Raw genomic sequence first — 19,628 nt, 5'->3', positions numbered from 1 at the left:
AGATTACAGGCACCTGCCCACCATGTCCGGCTGATTTTTGTGTTTTTAGTAGAGATGGGGTTTCACGATGTTGGCCAGGCTGGTCTTGAACTCCTGACCTCAGGTGATCCAGCTGCTTCAGCCTCCCAAAGTGCTGAAATTACAGGCATGAGCCGCTGTGCCCAGCCCCTAGCTTTATTTTTATAATCAGAATAAATAAAATTTAAATCACTACATTGATTCTGAAGGCTAACCTGACCTTTCTGGTGTAATAATTACTTAGAAAATCATCTCAGTATTTTAATATGGTGAAACTGTACTGCTCAATGCTACTGTTACATATAAGCCTATCAAAAATACATCTATAGGAGTCAGACTGCCATCGTATAGTTTTCTGCAGACAAGCAAGAAAAAATTCATTTGCCTCTAATTCAGTTCTTATGGAACAAATCACTGATACTACATCAGAGCAACTAATTCCCTGTCTAAATTCTCAGGAATCTAATGGTCCAGAACAATTACTGTGAATTTCATTAATGAATTATTCCTGTATATTTTTAATGCAACCATGTCCTCATATTTATGGAGGGCCAGATTTTCTCTGAAGCCTTCCCTCTTGTATTCTGTCATTTACCACCTGCTCTTCCCTTTATTCATGAAGAGAAGGGGACCCCAGAGGTCAATACTGAGACAAATTAGATCAATTTTCTCTGAGCTCCTGAGGGCAATTTCTAAGGGAGAGCCAAAAGTGTTTTAAGCAAGGGTGGTGGAGCTAGGCTGGACTTCCCTCGGACAAAGAATGGGTGGGTCTCCATGCTCTTTGTAATCCCAGGCTAAGCACAAGACCCCCTCCACTCCCACCACCTGTTTGTCGGTAAATACAGAATACATAAATAGAATGACTTGAGATATTACTCACTTATGTGTGAAGGTTCTGGGTTTTTTTCTTTTTTTTTTTACTAGTTCTAGTCACCTTAGAGTCACACAAACTTCACAACTGCTCAAAGCCTCCCTTGATAGTTTGGCAGGCCTTGCTTTACACCTCTTTGTGACAGGTGAGGTCTTCTAATCTGAGCACATGAGCTTACCCTACGGGGTCATTCTCCCACTAACATTCCCTACCACTTTAAAAGCTGGTCTCACACCAGTCAGAATGGATATTATCAGAAAGTCAAAAAGTAACAGATGCTGGCAAGGTTGCAAAGAAAAGGCAATGCTGATACACTGTTGGTGGGAGTGTAAATTAGTTCAACCATTGTAGAAAGCAGTGTGGGGATTGCTCGAAAAACTAAAAATAGAACTACCATTGACCCAGCAATCCCATTACTGAGTAAATACCCGAAGGAATATAAATTGTTCTACCATAAAGACACATGCGCGCATATGTTCACTGCAGCACTATTCACAACAGCAAAGATCTAAATACCCATCAACAGTAGCCTAGATAAAGAAAATGTGGTACATATATATATATACTATGGAATACTATGCAGCCATAAAAAAGAATGAGATCATATCCTCTGCAGGAACAGGGATGGAGCTGGAGGTCATTATCTTTAGCAAACTAATGCAGGAGCAGAAAATCAATACCACATGTTCTTACTTATAAGTGGGAGCTAAATAATGAGAACACGTGGACACAAAGAGGGGAAACGACAGACACCAGGGCCTTCTTGAAGGGTGGAGGGTGGGAGGAGGAAACGGAGCAGGGAAAATCATTACTGGGTACTAGGTTTAGTACCTGAGTGACTAAATACTCTGTACACCAAACCCCCGTGACACAAGTTTACCTGTATAACAAACCTGCACATGTACCTCTGAACCCAAAATAAAAGTTTAAAAAAAATAAAATTTTTGATCGAGACCATCCTGGCTAACAAGGTGAAACCCCGTCTTTACTAAACATACAAAAATTAGCCGGGCGTGGTGGCGGGCACCTGTAGTCCCAGCTACTCGGGAGGCTGAGGCAGGAGAATGGCGTGAACCCGGGAGGCGGAGCTTGCAGTGAGCCGAGATTGCACCACTGCACTCCAGCCTGGGTGACAGAGCGAGACGCCATCTGAAAAAATAAATAAATAAATAAATACATAAATAAATAAAATTTTTTAAAAGCTGGTAAGCACTCAAGCCTGCCAAGAGGTCTGACCAGTCATAAGAATGCATCATGTGACTTAATGCCCTCAACAACCCCAGGAGATTCATACGCCTTACTCCCCTCACTTTACACAACGCAGAGGCAGCCTGCTGGTTTTCTGTTGTTGTTGTTTTGTTTTATTTTCTGTTTTTGAGACAGGGTCTCGCTATGTCCCCAGGCTGGAGTACAGTGGTGAGATCGCGGCTCACTGCAACCTCCACCTCCCAGGCTCCAGCGATTCTCCTGTCTCAGCCTCCCAGGTAGCTGGGACCACAGGAGTACGCCACCATGCCCAGCTAATTTTGTTCTTTTATTTTTTGTAGAGATGGCGGTGGGGGAGGTAGTCTCACTATGTTGCTCAGGCTGGTCTCAAACTCCTGAGCTCAAGGAATTCGAACTCTTCCCTCCTCGGCCTCCTGAAGTGCTGTGATTACTGGAGTGAGCCACCACACCTGGCCCAGCCTGCTGGTTTTAAAGTAATACTAGAGACAGGAAGATGACCCCAAACCCCTCCTATGGCCTGAGCATCTTCCGCTCCGCTGGAACAGCCTGTGCAGAGACTGGGCAAGGAGAACCCTCACTGTACAAAGAAGGAAACTGGAGCCCAAGAGGTTAAGTAGCATGAACAGCTAAGTGGCGCCTCTCTCTTCTGTCTTCTCACTGCCTCTTGCCTTATGATTTCATACAAAGCAGCCCCTAAATGGGGAAGCACAAGACAGAGACATGGAGGAACCCAGCACAAGAGTAAAGTGAACCGTTCAGCAAACACTAAAGAAAGCTGATCCCCAGAGATAATTGCACTATTCAGCATACCTACTACTGGGATCCCTGGCTTTGCTTAATAACCAAACCTATTTAAATCCATAAGGAATTGGTTCTCTGACTTAAAGGGTGTTGTTATAACAACCATAACTTTGGCTTTTCTCTGGAGTACCAACAACTACTGGTTTGATGCAACCATTTCCCTTTTACGCAAAAAGGTGCACTAAAAGTAGACCACGCATTGTTGTGTATCATTAGGCAAGCAATTTCTCTTCTCTAGGCCTCACTTTTCCCATCTGGAAAGTAAAAGGGTCCAGTCACATGATTTCTGAAGTTCCTTACAGGGTCAGCGTCCTGGTGAGAAAACTATACTGCAGTGCCAAGAGGAATTGATGTAGGATTTTTCTTCTTGGTCCTCGGGCCAGCAATGCCCCACCTGTGCTCGCTCGGCCATGCAGGTGTGTCCCAGCTCACTGTATTATAGCTTGTACCCGCGTTCGGTGGTTCCGAGCTCGTGCACCACACCAAAGGATAATGAGGATACACTGGACATTGAAGGGAGAGGAAGGCAGATAAGAATTTTATTGAGTGTTGAAAACAGCTTTCAGCAGAGAGGGGACACCGGGTTGGTCCCCTACCTGAAGACGGAAAAGTTCCCCAATGTGGCTGGGTCAGGGGCCTTTTATGGACTCAGAATAGGGAGTGCATGCTGACCGGTTTGTGAGTATGCAAAAAAGATGAAAGCAAAGACACCACTCAAAGGTGGGCACGGCAGCGTAGAAAACCAATTAGGAAAAAGTGGGTATATGTAAAACAGGCGAAATGTAGGAATCAATTAGGGGAAAGCACGCCAAACAAGTTCTCACTCTGGTCTGAGGATTTAACTCGTAGCTTGGCTTTCAGGCTTTAAACTGTCTTTGGCCTGGAGGTGGGGGTTTCACCGGGTACCTGACCCTATCTGCCTAGGCATCCAGCTGCCTCCTGTTGCTACCAGAATCACATTGAAAGTGAAACACGCTGGAAACTCTAAGGAAAAGAAACAAGTGTAACTAGGAGATAACAGGCACAGTGCAAAACAACATGTTAACTTTGGGGAAATCCGGCTTCTCAGTGTTTTTTTGGTTTTCCTACTTCTCTGCCAAATACAAAAATAAGCAGCTACTTCCATGGGACTCTCGTTAAAAAAAAAGTAACTTTAATAAGATCAGTGAAAACAATGCTTTGTTCTCCCACAAGTGGCTCAGGAGTAGCTTGCTAAGACACACTTTCTTCCCCGTGGGGCTGATGTCAACAGCCCATGCTTTTGCCCAAACAAAGGCCTCCTGGCACAAGGATGAGAGGCAAAACATCTGAGTCTCCGTAGCTGGCCTTATTCCAATTTGAGGGGAAGGGGCAGCCAGGAGAGAAAAATAACTAAGCTTTTGAAAGGCTTGAAGGAGAGTAAGGAATTACTAAATCTATTTTTTCTCAACAGAATAAAGAATTCTTGAAAGGGATAATGGAAGGGTGCAGCTTTCTATTTGAATTACTCTTTGTTTCACCCTATTCTGCCTAAGGCCACTGCCTTTTAGGCCAATCACAGAATCCCGGTTTTGCCTTTAGTTGCCCGCTGAGCGATGCAGTGGGAGTTGGGAGACCCACACTCAAGTGTTCTCTCTGTGGCCCGTTTCACCCGGTTTAAACTTGGACAAGTGGCTGAACTCTCCGGCCTCAGCTTCCTGCCTGTAAAATGAGAAGGCTCCCTAGATGCTCTCTAGACCTTTTCAATAACAGCGGAATAGGATTGGAGGCTCTCCAGTTCCCCCCCCGGGGACAGGTTAATCTTCAGCCACACTAGCCAAGGTGAGGCAGCAGCCCGCCCGCTCAGCAGGCACACACTGGGGCGGCGGCGCCTCCATTCCTGCTCACACTGCACGCCCACAACCTGCACCAACACCATCGCCTCAGAGACCAATTCACCGCGAAACCATCTCCCCGCTGCAGATCGTGTCCGATTAACATCTGCAAAGCTGAGCTGAGCATATGTAAGCAAAGAAAAAGCAAAACAAACAAGAGTTCTCTTTTTCCGGACCTCGGAATTTCTTTCAAATAAACTCAGAACTGAAAATTGTACGTCCCCAGCTAGAATACGAGGTCTCGGCTGGCCTTGCTTGCGAAAATGCATTAACAAGCCAAAAGGGGCTAGTGACATCTGGGGTGTCTGGGCACACGGACACGGGCCTCAGAGGCAAAGAGCAAGACCGCACTGGGCGACTCGTACATTCTTCCCGCAGGCTGAGGAGGCGACCAAAATATCCCCACAGAGGCAATCGCCGGAGTGCGGGGACAATAGTGCACCCAGCACTCTCTTTTTTTGAGGGGCACCCTTAGACCCTTAACCCAACCCACATCTCTAAGAGACCTCCAGGAGGTGAAGGTGAGGGGTGGTCCACTTCACCCAAAAGAATGCGCCACGGCCGGGGACCGACTCAGCCTGGAGTAACCTTTTTGTAGCTGCTTTCTTGTTTTGGTTTCCCTTTTTAAGTCTGGCAGTTTAGTCTGATGCCCAAGCGGTACCTTTTAAATGTCTCTCTCGCCCTCTTCCAGCAAGTGGCGCCTCTAGAGCCACTCCCTCCCCCGAGGCTGAGACAATGGCCCGGCACCGCAGGGCGGCCCCTAAGGGTATGCAGTGCGTCCAGCTCTCCGGGCAGGGCGCACGTGCGTTTGTTATGGTGCCTGTGCCCCCTCCGCTGCCGCGGGCCTCAATTTGTCGATCCGTAAACCCAGACTCTGCAAGGCGCAATGCCCCCACGCCACCCCACCCCATACTGACGGTGCCGTGGAGAAATCCGTGTTCCCCGGGGCTGTGCGCACGTGGGTTTGTTGTGGATCCGCAGGCTCGCGGAGCCAGAGAGAAGCCAGGGTGGCCCTTTGGCCCTGACAAAAATGCACACACCCCCAACCAAAAGGCGGCCAGCCCCGGAGCCAAGGCAGCTGAGGCGGAGCTGGAGAGAGATTCCCTGCGCCCTACGCGCGCCGCGGGCCCCGCGCCTCCGCTATCCTCCCGCGCCCCTTTGCATCACACTCCTCCCGGGATAGCCCGGGCCGCGCCGCCGCCCACCGCACCCCCTACTCACTCGCTGCACTCTCGGCCGCGGAGGCTGCGGTTGCTCAGCACGCTCGGTGGCGGCCGCCCGCTCCGCGCCCACGCCGGTCGGTATCGGCTCCCTTTGTTAACGCCGGGCAGTGCCCCAGGCGTCTTCCCCAGCCCGGCCCTGCCCAGGACTCCCCTCCCCCAGGTGACTCCAGAAAACGCGCTCGGCAAGGGCAGGATCGCCCGGGAGCTGGGGACCCCACTAGGGAGTCTCGAAAGAGGGGTCCGCTGGGGAAGAACGGGGGACAGAAGACGCACAGTGGAAGGGACTGGAGAAGGAAGGAAGAAGAGCGCGGCGGAGGGGCGGGAAGGAAGCGAGTCGCCTCCGTATGCAAATAGAGTTGCGAAGACTGGGTCGGTCTCCGCCCCCACTCCACCTCTCGCCACCGGCCACACCGCGCCCCAAACCGGCCTGGAGGTCGCTAGCGAGCGGGCTTGGGGTTAAAGACTCTTGATGAAGGCACTGGGTGATGCTAGAATCCTGCCTGCTCTCAAGGAGGGTGGATCGAGGGCCGAGTGGGAGGGGCCACGCGGCTGCGCAAGGACCCCTAAATGCCTCTTCCCCGCTTGGCCGCGAGGGGTCAATCCAGCAGTGTCCGGCTTTTGGTCCTAACATGCGGGTGCTGTACACCCGGTCTCTGCTACCGGCTGACTGCGAGACCCTGAGGAAGTCGCTTAACCTCTCCGAAGACTCGTGTTGCTCTTATCTAGAATAGGAAAGAACAAAATCTTTCACTGCGTTTGGCATTAACCTCCTAACATTGAGGCATGACTCCTACTGGGCGCTCTCAAATGGCAAATACAGAAGGAGAGGAGCGTCCTCGAACCCCTGCACCCAGAGGCTTCCACCCCAAGCTGCAGGCTGAAAGACTGAAGCCTCAGCCTGGATGGTGAAGGGAGCGAGGTTCTTTCTTTTCACCCGGACGACGGTGGGGCTGCTGGGGAAGGAAAGAGGATTAACCAAGCTGCGTACTGACCATCCCCGATAGCCCCAAGGCGATTTCCCTAAGAAAGAAAAACTGCCCAACAGGAGGGCGGAAGGGGCCTTTAAGGCCTCCAGTCCAGCCTCCCATAGCCCAAAGAGAGGATGTGACTACCAGAGGCAATAGTCATATCCCAGTTGTCTACTGAGTGCACACTAGGCACCAGGCTGTGTGCTGGGTGGGAAAGGGGAAAGGAAGGAGATACTGGAAGGTTTGGGGGTCCTCTGGGAACACAAAGTCCAGTGCACACTTAAAGTGCCTGAAGCCCAGGCCCAGAGTTCTGTCTCCAAATGAGGTGCCTACCCCACATCACCAACCTTGGAAAGGGAAGTTACATCCGCACCCTGTCCCCAGCACCCTTCTTCCAAACACTGCTTCCTCCCTGTCCTGATCCTGGCTCCCTTCTGCTGATACTGTCATTCCCTTCCCTGCTGCCCCTGAGGCATTTTTGCTCAGTACAAAGAGCTCCAATTGAAGGGAGTGCCAGCCAGAGTGAATTCAAATCTTTATGACCAACTCGCTGTGCCTTCTTGGGTGAGTTCCACATCCTGTGAGCCTCCCTTTCCTCTTCTGCAAAATGGAGATATTAAGGAAAGCGTTGTTTTCAGGATCCTGTGAAATGACCTACGTGAAACACGTAGCTTAGTGTTTGGCATATAGAAGGTGCTCCTGACAGTAAAATGTATGTATGCGTGAATGAATAGAAGCAGCCAAGTTCAGAAGACTATTTCTGGAAGGATGCTACATTGAAGATTTTAGGCCCTATTCGAAAAAGGGAAAAAAAAAAAGGAGGCTATTAAAAGATTCTGTGCAGTAGCATGACATGCATCTTTGTATTTTACAAGGATTCCTCTGGCACCACACTGGAAAATAGATGGCAGAAGCAGAGAATGCAAGAGACTAGATTGGAAGCTGACATCAATGGAGATATAATAAGAGCCTGAACTGTGTCAGTGACTGTAACAAGACAGAAGAAAAGGACATCTAAATAATAGCTACCATTTGGAGATCTGACATGGTTTGGCTCTGTGTCCCCACCCAAAAATCTCATCTTGAATTGTAATCCACATGTGTCAGGGGAGGGACCTCCTGGGAGGTGATTGGATCGTGGGGGGCGGTTTCCCCCATGATGTTTTTGTGATAGGGAGCTCTCACGGGATCTGGTTGTTTGATAAGTGTCTGGCATTTCCCCTGCATTCTCTCTCTCACCTGCCGCCATGTAAGATGTGCCCTGCTTCCCCTTCACCTTCCACCATGATTATAAGTTTCCTGAGGCCTCCCCAGCCATATGGAACTGTGAGTCAATTAAACCTCTTTTGTTTATAAATTACCCAGTCTCAGGTAATTTATAATTTTCTCAGTAGTGTGACAATGGACTAATACAGGATTCAAAGCACCTTATTTATTACATTGTCTCTCCTTTTCATCAGATAAGTAATGGTCTTAGTCCTATTTTATGGATTAGGAAACTGAAGTCATCTAGGAAGTGAAGAGAGAATTTGACACATTCTTCCACTTTCTTTGAAAGCTTTAATCATCTCCTTCATCATCACCCATATGTCAACATTACTTAAGAACTAAGAACAGCCTGGTGCGGTGGTTCACGCCTGTAATCCCAGCACTTTGGGAGGCCTAGGCGGGCGGATCATGAGGTCAGGAGACCAAGACCATCTTGGCTAGCACAGTGGAACCTTGTCTCTACTAAAAACACAAAACAAATTAACCGGGGCTGGGCGTGGTGGCTCACGCCTGTAATCCCAGCACCTTGGGAGGCCGAGGCGGGCGGATCACAGGTCAGGAGATCAAGACCATCCTGGCTAACATGGTGAAACTCCATCTCTACTAAAAATACAAAAACAAAATTAGGCGGGCACGCGATGACGGGCGCCTGTAGTCCCAGCCACTCAGGAGGCTGAGGCCGGAGAATGGTGTGAACCCAGGAGGCGGAGCTTACAGTGAGCCGAGATCACGCCACTGCACTCCACAAAAGCAGAAGGCGCTCTTTCAGAGGTTGTCCAGTCCCCACTCCGCAGTTCTCTTTTGCAGAGAACTGGAAAACCAAATTAAGGAGAAAACAAGGGAAAAGGTTATCTCAACACTGAGATAAGCACAGATGATATGACACGTGCAAAAATTTCCTGGGCGTCTGAGACAGATGAGTGGGCAAGCAAGGGTGCTCCTGGTAAAATTCCAGGATGGGGGCCATTGTGGAGCAGCCTCCACCAAGGTTCTCTCTTATCACTTAGGACCCTCTGACCTATAAGTGAGAGGCAGAGGCTGGGGCATTACTTTGGAGATGATCCTGTCCTCCCAGTCTATACATGTGAGGCTTCTCCTCCCATTTTCTCTGGGGTCCCTGCCTTGACAGGTTGGTTTTGGTTTTTTTGAGAAGTACAGATACCCACTTTCCCTCTGGACAGTATCTCAGTTCTGGGCCCTCCACCCACAGCTTCCTGCTATGGTCTGCATGTTGTATCCCCCCAAAATTCGTACAATGAATTCCTAACCCCCAAGATGATGGTATTTGGAGGTGGGGCATCTGGAGGAGGTGATTAGGTTATGAGGGCAGAGCCCTCACAAATGGAACTAGCGCCCTTATAAAAGAGACCCGGACCAGGCATGGTGGCTCACACCTGTAATCCCAGCATTTTGGGAGATTGAGACGGGCAGATCACCTGAGGTCGGGAGTTCGAGACTAGCCTGGTCAACATGGTGAAACTTCATCTCTACTAAAAATACAAAAAATTAGTTGGGCGTGGTGGCAGTCACCTGTAGTCCCAGGTACTCGGGAGGCTGAGGCAGGAGAATTGCTTGAACCCGGAAGGCAGAGGTTGCAGTGAGCCAAGATCACGCCACTGCACTCCAGCCTGGGCAAACAGAGCAAGACTCTCTCTCAAAAATAAGTAAATAAATAAATAAATATTAAAAAGTAAAATAAAAGAGACTCCAGAGAGCTAGCTAGCCCCTTCCAACATGTGAGGCTGCAGCTAGAAGGTACCACTTATGACCAGGAGACTGAGCCTTCTCTGAACACCAAGTCTGCCATTATTTTAATGTTGGACTTACCAGCCTCTAAAACCATAAGCAATAAACTCCTGTTGTTTACAAGCCACCCGATTTATGGTGTTTTTGTTATAGCAGCCCAAACAGACTAACACATTCCCCATCCCTCCCCCAACCCTTGACCTCAACCTTAGCCAATATATAATATTTTTAGGTAATGCATTGCTCAGTCATCATTTCAGACATCTTACGGATTAATACACATAATTTTCATTTACAACAATCCACTTGCAAATAATATGTTCATAACACTCTTGAATTGGAGGTGATGTTTCATGAGGGGAAAAAAAAAAGACAATAAGCAGTTGAAAATTTCCTCCCAAATCTTTCTTCCCCACCCACTACAGATGTTCATCAAGTTCCTTAAATAAACCTCACAGCTCTCCTCTTCATATCACGTCTCCTCTTCAGTACATGTTGTCTAATATGAGGATAGGTTCGGGGCCTAAAAGAACTGTGGTTTGCCTGTGCCCACCATGTTGGCTTTCAGTGCTGCCAGCCTTATGGATGATTTTATATATATATATATATATATATATATATATATATATATATATATATATATATATGTTCACAGCTAGTCTACTAAGTCTGTAGAACTCAAGTTTAAAAGTAGAAAGAAAATAGCAGCATGCTCAGCCCCCTTGCCGTGTGATGCCCTGTGCCACTATAGAACTCTGCAGACTCCCCACTTGCATGAAAGCTCTCACCAGATACAGTCCATTGACCTTGGACTCCTCAGCCTCCATAACTATAAGAAATGACTTCCTTTTCTTTATTAAAAGAGAGAGAGAGAGAATAACAGCATCTCTAATTTAAGCACACAGGGATGGCTCCTGCTGATTGCTGTGAGGCAGACCTGCACAGATGGGCTGATAAAGCAGAGTGGGGGCAGAGAAGAAGAGTGCTAGAATGCAGGGGCTGGAAACTAGAAACAGGTCTCATGAAAGGATCACAGCCACAAGACTGGGAGGATGGCTGGCCCCACAGCCCCAAGTACAGCAAGAAGTGACTTGCTGGCTCCAGAAACCTCAGAGTAGAACATGGGCATGGCGAGATCAGGATAGGTCAGAGAAATAGACATATACGTATCATGTGGGCACATGAGTAGTTAGGCTGCCCTTCACCCAATTATCTTCTGTGTCCAACCCCATCCTAAGTCCCTGGGAAGATACGAGGAGAAACCAAGACTCTGTTCCCAAATCACATGTGTTTTAGCAAAATATCTCAGTTCGTAATAATGATTTTCATGTATTGAACATCTACTCATAAGCTATGCCCAGGAGACCAGATACACTGATAATGGCAGGGAATACAAGAGCTCGGGGACTCTGAGGAAGCAAAGATGCTTATAATAAATTCTCTCAAAAAGATTCAGGAAATTGGCTTCTCTTGGGAGACTTCTATCAGAACCAAAGTAGAAATTGCCTCCTATGTATTAATGATCTAAGGATGACAGTTAGAATAAATCGTAGGGATAGTCAATGTTTTGTGCAAGAGGTTACACAGGTCAATGAAAGTTCTTTGCAGTTAATTTCTTTGAGTGGAGGAGGATCAGTGTTTGCTGCCTGGTGGTGATCTGTCCCGAGCCTGCGTCCGTAAGGTCTCATGTTTTTAATAGTGTTTTTTCTGATGTTACAGTTAACATTTGCTTTAGAAAATTCAGAAAAGTCAGACAAAGTTAAAGAAGCAAGGAGGAAAAATTGTCAGCCCATCAACCACAAACAGAATTGAACCATTTGGCCTGTTTTCTTCCTGGGCATTTTTCTGCAACTTTCTATAGTTAAAATTATAATGTATGTACAGTGATATCCGGCTTTTCTCCCCCATTTAAATATGTCATAAGCATTTCCTATGTGTATTTAACAATAAATGTAGTCATTCAGTTTAGCCCTTATTACATGCAAAGCAAGCATTCTTCAGCAAATTATTAGTGGTTTATTGTACTAATGGTTGGCTATACAAGAGACAGTTTCGTGGTTGAGAGGATTCTCAAGTCAGGTTTGAATCCTGACTCTTCTACCTCCTAGCTTGGTGACTTTGGACAAATTACTTAACTTCTCTGGCTCTGTTTCCTTAACTGTAAAGTAAGGATAATAGTATCTGCCCCATAAAGTTATTTTAACTAATACATGGGCCGGGCATGGTGGTTCATACCTGTAATCCCACCACTTTGGGAGGCTGAGACAGATGGATCAACTGAGGTCAGGAGTTCAAGACCAGCCTGGCCAACATGGCGAAACCCCGTCTCTACTAAAAAGTACAAAAATTAGCCAGGCATGGTGGTGGGCACCTATAATCCCAGCTACTCAGGAGGCTGAGGCAGGGAGAATTGCTTGAACCTGGGAGGTGGAGGTTACAGTGAGCTGAGATCACGCCATTGCACTCTAGCCTGGTCAACAGAGAGAGACTCTGTCTCAAAAAAAATAAATTAATTAATAACAAGAAAAGTGCTTAAAGCAATACCTGGCACAGTAAGCACAGAATAAGCGGTAGCTATTAACAATATGTGAATGCGTCGTAAATTATTCAACCATTCTCCTACAGCTGGAAATTAAGGTTGTTTTTGGTCACGCCTGTAATCTCAGCACGTGGGGAGGCAGAGGCTGGTGGATCCTGAGGTCAAGAGTTCGAGACCAGCCTGGCCAACATAGTGAAACCTTGTCTCTACTAAAAATACAAAAAATTAGCCAGGCATGGTGGCGGGCGCCTGTATCACAACAAGCTAATTTTTTGTGTTTTTTGTAGAGACGGGGTTTCAACATGCTGCCCAAGCTGGTCTCGAATTTCTGATCTCAAGTCATCTGCCCGCTTCACCCTCCCAAAGTACTGCGATTACAGGCATGGGCCGTGGCACACAGCCAGTGAAGCTGATTTCTTTTTTTTTTTTTTTTTTAGATGGAGTCTCGCTCTGTCTCTCAGGTTGGAGTGCAGTGGTGCGATCCTGGCTCACTGCAACCTCCGCCTCCTAGGTTCAAGCAATTCTCTTGCCTCAGCCTCCCGAGTAGCTGGGATTACAGGCACCCGCCACCACACCCAGCTAATTTTTGTATTTTAGTAGAGACAGGGTTTCACCATGTGGGCCAGGCTGGTCTTGAACTCCTGACCTCAGGTGATCCGCCCACCTCAGCCTCCCAAAGTGCTGGATTACAGGCATGAGCCACGGCACCCACCCAGTGATGCTGAATTCTTAACCAAAATATATGACTAGTTACAGCAAGTGACGGCCAGCGCTGAGTCCTGGTGACTTGAACATTCAGTTAAAAGGATTACCCCATCACTGACTGTGTTTTACTCACATGTGTTTTCTACATCTCACCCCAAGGAGAGCCAATATTTTATGAGAGAGGCCACATAACACACAGCACACCAGTTTAGGAGACAGCAGGCCTGCATTCCACATTAAACTCTCACAACCAGCCTGCAGACCTCAGCTAAGGCACTTGCCCTTTCTTGTTCTCAGTTTACTACTTTATGAACAAGGGCAGTTGGACAAAATAAGTTGTTTTCAAGCCTGGCTGAACTTTGGAGTCACCTGCTGAAATTGTTTATAGTATAAATGCTCATTCTCCTCCCCAGGATATAATGGTTCTGGGGTCAGACGCTGGGTATCTATAATTGTTAACAAATTTCCCAGGCAAGGCTGATGAGCTGCAGGGTTTACAGACAAGTCCACTGGGTTACCTCTAAGGCTCTTTCTAGCTTCTCACAAAGAAATTCCTCCAAAGGGAAAAAGCCACCAACCATGCCTGAACATGTTCGTGCTCCTTCACCAAGGGAGCTTTCTCTGCTGGTGCTGCCCTGAGTGAGGAACCCTTTGCCAAGGGACTGTGGGCTTTAGACAGCAGAGGCGTGGTTACAGCCTCAGCAACAGTCTCATTGATTATCATCACCGGTAGTTAATTAAACACAAATAGCTGGGCAATAACCTTTGGAAAAAGCCACATTTCTTATCATTAAGCTATTTCCTGCTCTTCCGATTGTAGGTGCTTCAGGAGCCACAGCTTAAAGTGCAGACATGGCCAAGTCCAAGAACCACACCACACACAACCAGTCCCAAAAATGGCACAGAAATGGTATCAAGAAAGCCTGATCACAAAGATACGAATCTCTTAAGGGGGTCGACCCCAAGTTCCTGAGGAACATGTGCTTTGCCAAGAAGCACAACAAGAAGAGCCTAAAGAAGATGCAGGCCAACAGTGCCGAGGCCATGAGTGCACATGCCGAGGCTATCAGGGCCCTTGTGAAGCCCAAGGAGGCTAAGCCCAAGATCCCAAAGGATGTCAGCCACAAGCTCAATCGACTTGCCTACATTCCCCACCCCAAGCTTGGGAAGCGTGCTCGTGCCCGCGTTGCCAAGGGGCTCAGGCTGTGCCGGCCAAAGGCCAAGGCCAAGGACCAAACCAAGGTCCAGGCTGCAGCTCCAGCTTCAACTCCAGCTCAGGCTCCCAAAGGTGCTCAGGCCCCTACAAAGGCTTCAGAGTAGATATCTCTGTCTGCCAACATGAGGACAGAAGGACTGGTGCAACCGCCCCCCTCCCCCAGCCCCCGCCGGCTGCCATCTGCACGGGGCTGGGGTCCTTCTGTGCTATTTGCACAAATAAACCTGAAGCAGGAAAACAAAAAGTTATTGCCTAAAGTTTAAACACCTCCCTACGAAACTACATTAATTTTCTAGTCCCTCTTTGTACAGGGCTCAAGGTTAAACTTTGACAGCTCGCTATTAGAAACCTGAGTGCACATGTGTATTGATTCTGTTTCTTGAAGGAAAAGAAAAAAGAGGAAAAAAAAAATCCCTGAGCGTACAGCCTCAGCATCCTCCTGGCAGGAGCTGATGGAGGAGGTGGTGATTTGGATTAACCTGTAACCAGCTCTGCTGAGGTCTAAGTGTTCGGACAATAACATGTGCATTTGGGAAGCACTGAAATGGTTCAGTGCAGGAAATAGCCCCTGAACAGTGCAGCCTTATCCATTACAGTCTTACTTGGTGATATCATAAAGCACTCAGCTGTCCAGTTCAATTACCAAGCAGGCAGTCTATAATGATAATAAGAGCCTGCACTTCTCTAACCAGACAGGCTCAGACAAGGCCATGACGTGGAGGCCCCAGAACTTCATCCAGGAGGCAGGGACTCCAGCTCAGGCCCACTGAGGTGGAAGATTTGTGTGTGTCTGTGACTGTCTGGGGGAATGTAAGCACAGGCACTTGTATTAACCATATATATGATTATATTCAAAGGGTTGGATCCAATCTGCTTGGGGTCCCAACCCATCAGCTGGGCTGTAATTCTACAGACCGGGTTCCTCTGTGACGCTTTTCTCAAACTTACAGGAAGGATCGTTATTAGGAAACTCATTTTCTTCCCCAGAATAGATGCAGAGGTCTTCAGTCCACATTCAGAGTGGACTATTGAAGAGGTATTTTGTTGCAGAATCTGGGACTTCTCTGGTGGTTGGGTTAAGCTGAAAGGGGTACAATACACCTGCTTGATTCATCTACTCACTTTAATATGCATTACACATTTAGAGGACTTGCGAGGTGCATTCCTATACATTTTTTGATTGATCCTTATTTTACTGAGAAATCAACTGAGGTCTAGAAAGTACAATAACTTGCCAAAGATCACCTAGCTAATAAGCGGCAGCAGTTGGACTAGAGCCCAAATCTTCTGATTCTGTTGTAAATGCTAATAAGGGGCCAGAGGGTAGCCCAGAAAAATGTATAAAGAACAAAAGACTTGAGAAAAAGCAGAAATTTCAGTGGCTTGTCCTTCATAATGAGGCCCCTGAGAGGAATCAGGACCTGCTCATTATTTTCTGACTTTTCATACTGCTCAGGGATCATTAGCCTGGGTTTTCAGCCTGTCTTTTCAAAGTGCCAAGAAAAATGTGTAAAGTGATAAGTGGAGATTATAGAGAATGGCCAGAAGTCTGGGGAGAAGAAGGAAGACACTCATTTGAGATGGCTTTGTGTGAATCTGGACTTATGATAACACATTTCCTTCACCGCAGTGGTTTTGACATAGAGGGTTGAGGTAGTTTTACTGCTTCAAAGATCTCATGAGCTAGAAGAAATTGTAATTTCCATTGATTACTGAGGTGAAATAGAGCGTGGTTGAGATTTGTATCTGGATATTCCAGAATGATCTAAGAGATAATAATGACTTCCTCAAATTACTGAAGCAGGAGCTGAAATGGTTATGATATTTAATCCTCATAAAGATCCTGGGAGGTGTGCGTCATTAACCGCATTTGGAAATGAGATTACTAAGGCTTAGGAAGTTTGAATAACTGGCCAAAGGCTTGTAATTGCAAAGCTGGAAATTGAACTAGGATGTGTATGACTTCAAAGCCACTCTTTAACCAATAGGCTCATCTGTTTTTCATTGGAGGCAAAGTGAGGAGAGGATGACCTGACTGTCTCCTCACTGTCTCTACCACTAGGACTCGCTTCTTCATTGCTCTGAAAAGCCTCCTTCATCTCTCTCTGCCTTCAAGCCATCCTCTAAGGTCTGGTTCAATCCTAAGCTCCTCCTGGAAGCCTGGCATCCACATTGATCTCTTCCTTCTCTGAAGTCTTGTAGACACATGCAGAAATTCCTGGGACTGTACCTTTTGTTTTCTCATGTATTTGATATATAGCTAAATGGAATTTGGTTTTTGTTTTTTATTTTTTATTTTTATTTATTTATTTATTTATTTAGAGACAGAGTTTCCCTCTTGTTGCCCAGGCTAGAGTGCTTTGGTGTGATCTTAGCTCACCACAAACTCCACCTCCCGGGTTGAAGCAATTCTCCTGCCTCAGCCTCCTGAGTAGCTGGGATTACAGGCATGCGCCACCATGCCCGGCTAATTTTGTATTTTTAGTAGAGCCGGGGTTTCTCCATGTTGGTCAGGCTGGTCTCGAACTCCCAACCTCAGGTGATCCACCCGCCTCGGCCTCCCAAAGTGCTGGGGTTACAAGCGTGAGCCACCGCGCCTGGCCTGGAATTTGGTTTTTAATACCGTTTCAAATAAATACGCATTAGGTGTTTCATGGAAACACACTTTGTTTTACATAAATAAGTCCACAAATCAGGACAAAATTTTCTTTATCAGATTTAGAGTTGTAAATTAAATCAGATTGGAACCTTCCCTCCTCACTAGCCATTCCCCAAACTTTGGCCAAGGACCACAGAGGTAGGGAGGGAAGGAAGTGTCTCTCCTAACTCCATTCATGGCCAGGAAATAGGCTTGCTCTTCTTAGTTGACATTTCCATCTCTAATCCCCTCCAAGGTCTTTAATAAAACTCCAAAATGGGCCAGGCACGGTGACTCACGTCTGTTATCCCAGCATTTTGGGAGATCAAGGCGGGCAGATCATGAGGTCAGGGGTTCGAGACCAACCTGGCCAACATGGTGAAACCCCGTCTCTACTAAAAATACAAAAAAAATTAGCCGAGCGTGGTGGCGGGCACCTGTAATGCCAGCTACTCAGGAGGCTGAGGCAGGAGAATCACTTGAACCCGGGAGGCAGAGGTTGCAGTGAGCCTAGATCGCACCACTGCACTCCAGCCTGGGAGACAGAGTGAGACTCCATCTCAAAAAAAAAACAAAAAAAAACAAAAAAAAACTCCAAAAAGGCCATGTCTCTGCAGTGTGCCTCTCCATCGGCTGCTGACAGTTCATTCCTTAGGTAACTAATGAGACCACAGCTAACTCAGTGCTGTGGTGATGCTTCAGGAGTTCTTTGGGGCCAAGCAGAATGGAGTTTGCTTCCTGTCTTGCTTTTTACCAGCCAGATAGCTTTTAAAAAGGCCCTTAGCTTCTCTGAATCTGTGAAATGGAGGCACTGCATTCCTCGAAGGATCACAGCAAAGATCAGCAATAATGCTGGTGTGTGCGGTGGCAGGCTGTATATCAACTACATACACAAAAGGAGAAAGGTATTATAATTATTAGATGTGAAACCAATCAGAAGGAGGTGAACAATTAACTTTTTTTAACCCTAGGACCAATGCAGAAAACCCAGATGCCTAGGGCCTGGCATAGGAAGCCTCCTCCTCCTCTTCTTCCTTTCTTTTTTGTTCCTCTTTCATCCTTTAATCTCATTCAAAACAAAACACCTGCCTGGGCGCGGTGGCTCACGCCTGTAATCCCAGAACTTTGGGAGGCAGGGGCAGGCGGATCACTTGAAGTCAGGAGTTCAAGACCAGCCTGGCCAACATGGTGAAACCCCATCTCTACTAAATATACAAAAATTAGCCGGGCGTGGTGGCAGGCATCTATAGTCCCAGCTACTCAGGAGGCTGAGGCAGGAGAATTGCTTGAACCCGGGAGATGGAGATTACAGTGAGCTGAGATCGAACCACTGCACTCCAGCCTGGGCAACAGAGCGAGACTCTGTCTCAAAAAAAAAAAAAAAAAAAAATCATTGTAACTGTGATTACCTACTTTATGAAACAAATATGTAGCAGTGAGAAAGTTAGCACTGCTTTTTAGCCTCTAAAAGATTTCCACTCACATCTGTGCATACTGAAAAAGAAGCAGTGTGGAGACAGCTTTCTCATGTTTAACCCAGAAATTACAGGCCATGGACCAGATCAAAGATCTCAGGGCCACAGGAGGGTCTTATGTTAGTGTTTCCTCTTTACCATGTGAGAAAAACCTAAGGTATTACTGGAAGATCTTACTACACTCTCAGAATGTCAAAGACGATCTCATTTCCCTCATGAAGAAACAGACACCAGACTGACAGAAGCAAACCCTAGTCTCCAGGCACTCATCTCTTTCTGCTACCTCCCAGCCGTCAGTTTGAGGGCCTTACTGAGTAGCCCTTGTGCACTAAGTGTATGCTTTATGGGGGTGGAAGGCAGAAGGGGACCATATCCCAGCCCTGCAGGAGTACACAGAATGGAAGAATAAGAGGTACTCACAGACCGTCATCAGGAAGTGGCTCAAGACCCTTTATGATCCAGACTCAGCAGGGCAGCTCAGGCTGTGAGTTCATTCCAGAGGACAGAAGTGTATTTGCTCTGTCTACTTTATTCCCTAGAATAGTCCAGCTGAGGCAGTATTCATAAATGTTAATACAGTTAATGGACTCAGAGCCACAGTGGGTGGTGTTAAATCCCAGCTCACCCAACGAACAGCTGAGCAATCTTTGATAAATTACTTATGCTTCAGTTTTCCTATAGGTAAAGCATGGATAGTATTGTAAAAATGAAATGATGTAATCCATGTAAAGTGCTTTAAAAGGGGCCATCATTGAGTAAGTACTCGATAGGCTTAGCCATAATCATTGTACTAACCAATCACTTTAGAAAAGAAATTAATATTTGATAAACATATACATATACATATTTGATATGCCGTAAAATAATATTTGAGGAAAAAATGAATGAATTGGAGTCAGAGAAGGAAGGGATTCTTGCAGGCTGAAATTCTCAGGGTAGGTTTTTTAGCAGAGGCCAGATCTGAGCCTGGCATTTAAGGAGATGTAGGATCTAAGCAGGATGAAAGAAGAGAAGAAAAAATGTTCTAATTTCAGAAGGTCTTTTACACATAGACTCATGTTTAAAGATGTTTATTAAAG

General features: G+C 46.8%; 1 protein-coding gene and 1 pseudogene across 2 annotated transcripts in view, besides 5 other annotated features; one reads left to right on the top strand and one right to left on the bottom strand.

Moving 5' to 3' along the window:
• Positions 1–6,300, bottom strand: part of ST6GAL1 (ST6 beta-galactoside alpha-2,6-sialyltransferase 1) — a 148,028-nt gene extending 141,728 nt beyond the window's left edge. For both annotated transcript variants that reach the window (NM_173216.2, NM_173217.2), the window contains exon 1: positions 5,992–6,300. The gene's annotated coding sequence lies outside the window, so the exon portion shown is untranslated. The remainder of the gene's footprint in view (positions 1–5,991) is intronic.
• Positions 3,854–3,913: an enhancer, noted in NCBI's record as "active region_20947". NCBI's record gives its function as "activates an Ori minimal core promoter by ATAC-STARR-seq in GM12878 lymphoblastoid cells {active_cell/tissue: GM12878}" and the evidence as "EXISTENCE:reporter gene assay evidence [ECO:0000049][PMID:35858748]".
• Positions 3,934–3,983: an enhancer, noted in NCBI's record as "active region_20946". NCBI's record gives its function as "activates an Ori minimal core promoter by ATAC-STARR-seq in GM12878 lymphoblastoid cells {active_cell/tissue: GM12878}" and the evidence as "EXISTENCE:reporter gene assay evidence [ECO:0000049][PMID:35858748]".
• Positions 5,880–6,069: a silencer, noted in NCBI's record as "silent region_14990". NCBI's record gives its function as "represses an Ori minimal core promoter by ATAC-STARR-seq in GM12878 lymphoblastoid cells {active_cell/tissue: GM12878}" and the evidence as "EXISTENCE:reporter gene assay evidence [ECO:0000049][PMID:35858748]".
• Positions 6,077–6,685: an enhancer, noted in NCBI's record as "H3K27ac hESC enhancer chr3:186647930-186648538 (GRCh37/hg19 assembly coordinates)". NCBI's record gives its function as "activates a minimal SCP1, AML or CMV promoter by ChIP-STARR-seq in naive H9 embryonic stem cells {active_cell/tissue: H9 hESC(naive)}" and the evidence as "EXISTENCE:reporter gene assay evidence [ECO:0000049][PMID:30033119]".
• Positions 6,310–6,389: a silencer, noted in NCBI's record as "silent region_14989". NCBI's record gives its function as "represses an Ori minimal core promoter by ATAC-STARR-seq in GM12878 lymphoblastoid cells {active_cell/tissue: GM12878}" and the evidence as "EXISTENCE:reporter gene assay evidence [ECO:0000049][PMID:35858748]".
• On the top strand, positions 14,026–14,671 carry RPL29P9 (ribosomal protein L29 pseudogene 9; annotated as a pseudogene).

This window comes from Homo sapiens, chromosome 3 (assembly GCF_000001405.40).
Source record: "Homo sapiens chromosome 3, GRCh38.p14 Primary Assembly".
Taxonomy (NCBI): domain Eukaryota; kingdom Metazoa; phylum Chordata; class Mammalia; order Primates; family Hominidae; genus Homo; species Homo sapiens.
The sequence above is the reverse complement of the archived record's forward strand: the minus strand, read 5'-3'. Positions and strand labels throughout refer to the sequence as shown.